Source organism: Homo sapiens, chromosome 1, assembly GCF_000001405.40.
Source record: "Homo sapiens chromosome 1, GRCh38.p14 Primary Assembly".
NCBI lineage: Eukaryota > Metazoa > Chordata > Mammalia > Primates > Hominidae > Homo > Homo sapiens.
The window spans coordinates 43071194-43075512 of NC_000001.11; the positions used below are offsets into that span (position 1 = coordinate 43071194).

General features: G+C 45.2%; 1 annotated feature.

The window, feature by feature from the left end:
• Positions 2694-2743: a silencer, noted in NCBI's record as "silent region_775". NCBI's record gives its function as "represses an Ori minimal core promoter by ATAC-STARR-seq in GM12878 lymphoblastoid cells {active_cell/tissue: GM12878}" and the evidence as "EXISTENCE:reporter gene assay evidence [ECO:0000049][PMID:35858748]".

Consider the following 4319-nt stretch of genomic DNA (forward strand, 5'->3'; position numbering starts at 1 on the left):
GATGAGATGCCACGCTGAGGTCCATGACGCTGTCCCCTGGGTTAACTGGCTGGAGTCCTCAGCAGGGCTGCAGGAAGGTGGGCAGAACCCCCTCCACTGAGTGGCCTTGAGTTTGTTCCTGGGTGACCAGCACCTGAAAAACCATTTTCAGAGGAGGATTGGTGGGATGGGGAGGAGACTGGGGAGAGATGGGGCTCAGCTTCTGACAGCCTGAGGGTAGTGGGGTGGGGCCCGGGAGAGATTTGGGAAGCTCAGGTCACTCATTGCTCGTGGTGCTGGAAGTTGCTGGTTTGGGTGAGGTCATGCACCAGCCTAAGAGAGAGGAAAGGTGCCCTGCAACCCAGGGAACCCCTTTTGAGCCAGACCCTTGGGAGAAGCAGCAGCCACAGGGGCTAAGGAAACCAAGGTAAGCAGTGGTCAGAGAAGGTGAGGGAAGAATGTGCTTCAAGGAGGGAGCAGTCAAGACAGCCCCGTCTGGGGAAACAGCCAGGTGAGGAGGTAGAGGTGGAGGAAAAGGCAGCACAGAGGCCATGGGCTTTGGCATTGAAGAGGCCACCTCTGTAGAATCTGCTTTGCAGAAGAGGGAACAAAACCCAAGCTGCGGCTAGATGAGGGATTAATTAATGGGATGGGGAAGTGGAAACAGAGGCAGGTGTCCTGTGACTGCTCAGCAGCTTGGCTGAGGAGAAGGGGGAACGATTTGTGGCAGCCAGACAGGGGAGGTTCGGAGCCTTCTGGGGATGGGATGACAGGGGTGATATTCTCATATTTCCAGTGGAGAAACTGAGGCTCAGAGGGTTAAGAAGCTTGTGCAAAGTCACGATAAATTATTGGGGGAAGGCAGCCCAAGATCTCTGACTCTTAATGTAGTAATTTTCTAAATGGACAATTGAAATAGTGTAATACACACACACACACACACACACGGATATTAGTTCTGATCATAGAAGTAAAACATGTGCATGGGAGAAACCTAGAAACATGTGCAAAAATGTAAGAGAAAAACACAAAAATCACCTGTAATTCTACCACACAGAGATAAATGTTTTTACCATTGTGTGTCATGACTTTCTACTTTTTTCCTCTGCAAGTATACGTAAATACATACTGGGATCATGTTGCACAAGGTGTTTTGTAAATCCCTTGTTTCATTTAGTAACATAGCATAAATGCTTTTCCATAAGAATAAATATTCCTTGAGAATTTTTTTTTCTCTTTTAGCTCACAGTCTAGGCAGGAAGATAAGACTTACAGATGGGATTCTACAGTAAGCAGTCAAGCAAAATTCATGAGGTGGTGGCGAAGTGGCTGCATCCCTGGACTGGGAGCACAGTGAGCTGGCTCTTTGGCTTCTGACTTGTCCACTGATTGGTTATGTGGCCTTCAGCACACATAACGTATTTGGGCCTCAGAATCCCAGATATCTCCAAAGGGTTATCAATGAGTCTCTCAAGGCAAGCTGTCATGATGACAAAAGTGTTGAGGGAGAGTCTTAGAAAATGAAACCATGCCGGGCACGGTGGCTCACACCTGTAATCTTAGTATTCTGGGAGGCTGAGGTGGGTGGATCACCTTAGGTCAGGAGTTCAAGACCAGCCTGGCCAACACGATGAAACCCCATCTCTAAAATACAAAAATGAGCTGGGCATGGTGGCACGTGTCTGTAGTCCCAGCTACTCGGGAGTCTGAGGCAAAATAATCACTTGAACCCAGGAGGCGGAGGCTGCAGTGAGCTGAGATCACACCACGGCACTTCAGCCTGGGCAACAGAGCGAAACTCCATCTCAAAATAAAACCCAACAACAACAAAAAGGAAATGAAACCACATTATCATCATGATTCCGCAGGTCAATTTCTTTATCTGAAACTTGGGAAGCGTGTTTACCTACCTTGCCTGCCAGGATTGGTGATAATCAAATTAGATTAATTATTATTTTTTTTGAGACGGAGTCTCGCTCTGTCACCCAGGCTGGAGTGCAGTGACATGATCTCAGCTCACTGCAGTCTCTGCCTCCTGGGTTCCAGCAATTCTTCTGCCTCAGCCTCCCAGGTAGCTGGGATTACAAGCATGTACCATTACGCCTGGCTAATTTTTGTATTTTTCATAGAGACAGGGTTTCACCATGTAGGCCAAGCTGGTCTTGAACTCCTGACCTCAGGTGATCCGCCCACATTGGGCTCCCAAAATGCTAGGATTACAGGCTTGGGCCACCATGCCCGGCCTAGATTAATTATGATGTCTAAAAACAACTAATATTTGGACAATGTTTTGCTGTTTACCCACATTATCTCACTTAATCATTCCAACAATCCTATGGGGTAGGTACTGTTTTTGTATTCTATGTTTCCGGATAAGGAAACCATGGCTTGGAGAGATGGTGTCACTTGCTCAAGGTCAAAGGTAGTGAGTGGTAGAGTTGGGATTCAAACGTAGCTCTCCTTGTTACTAAAGCCATGAATCTTTGCACTGTGCCATTGTGATGTGTGATGCAGGCCTGCAGAGCAGTAGAGGGACATGGAAAAGAGGAAAAGAGAAAAAAAAGAGTAGAAAGTCAAGCTGCTTCATCCTTGGTTTAGCCGTTGTCGTCCCAGGTACCAACATCTGTGGGGAGTTGCCGCCCCCTGGTGTTCTATATGTGATATGTCCTGGAAGGGAGGAGAGCTAGCAATCTGCTTGCTCCACAGTAAAAGTGGGAGGAAGGAGCTCAGAATACCCCAGCTTGTCCTTTTAGAGTCGGGACGGGGGGTGGTGGTGGGTGCATATTTCACCCAACAGTTCTGGGTAGAAGCTTGGTATATTTCAGCCCCTACTTGCTCCTTATCTGGGTGCCCTAGTGCAGGGTTAGTGGCCACTTTGACAATATTCTATTTCTGACTCAAGTGCTAGTTAGAAGGGTGTTACATCATAATTATTCTTTAAACTCTCCATTAATGTTTCATATGCTCTTCTGTATCTATGATACAACTCAATAGAAAAAATAGGATTTTTGGCAATTCTTAGGGAATAATTTTTACTCTGGGCCGAAAAAATTTGTCATTGGCATAGCATCAAATGGCAGAGTGGTACAGCCAACACCTGAAGATGTGTACTTTAAAGGGCTTTTTCACCTGTTACCTCATTTTACAGTACCATAGCCTTCCAAGGAAGGTATTTATTTTCATTTTACTTATGAGAAAATAGGCTCAAGATTCCCCCGACCCCGCCATCCACCTGTCTGAAACCAGGAAACTTTCCAGAATCCCACACTGCCCCATTGTGGCAGCCCTTATGGCTCACTCAGTAAATAGGCCATAGTGGCATGCCCAAATGAGATCCATGTTGCCTCCAAAATCTAATGTGATGCTTCTTTCTTTGTGATGGGAGATGCCAGATGCAACAACTATCCTTAATCTTACAAGGGATATTTTCATGTTCACCTTATAAACGATATTTTGATGTGCTAGAGAGCTCTGGAAGCAAGAAATTTCACTAAGGTGGTAGATTCCTTAGTTTTTGTTTGGGATTTGTTCCATACCATCTGGTATATATGTGTCTTACCAGCGTGTCTAGGGTATCAAGTAATACTCACCTAGTCCAATCAATATGATTTTATCGTGTAGTAGGCCAGCATGATCTCCTATGAAATGGGGAAATTATTAGGTCCTAGCAGGCTAGAGTTTGATAGAGGGCTGGACAGTTGATATAGCTTTGAGTGAAGAAAGTGAAGTTGTATTGTTAACTCCACCAGGTAAATGCATTCTGCTTCTAGAGGTCCCTACTGACTGACATTCCTAGCTCTCTGTCTTTGGATATCTTGTTCTATAGTGTACCAAGGATGTTTTGGCCTTTCTCCTTAATGTAATATAGGCCACCATTAAGTCCAAGTTTCAGTTAGCCAGCCCAGTAAGCTGTTATAGCCACTATCAGTTTCTTGAGCTAACATATCTGTATCAATGAATTCAGTGCAATCAAAAATTACATTTTTCTCTCTCTCTGGTATAACACTCTTGTAATCCACTTCCCTAAATATTTCCCAGGCTTTTACTAGTATAGCCTTGCAAAATGTATACTGGCAAAACCTTGCAGTTCTTTTGGTGTTTTTGATATCTATTCTTCTTTTTTTTTTTTTTTTTTTTTTTTGAGATAGAATCTTGCTCTGTCACCCGGGCTGGAGTGCAGTGGCGCGATCTTGGCTCACTACAACCTCCATCTCCTGGGTTCAAGCAATTCTCCTGCCTCAACCTCCCGAGTAGCTGGGATTACAGGCACCCACCAGCTAATTTTGTATTTTTAGTAGAGATGGGGTTTCGCCATGTTGGCCAAGCTGGTCTCGAACTCC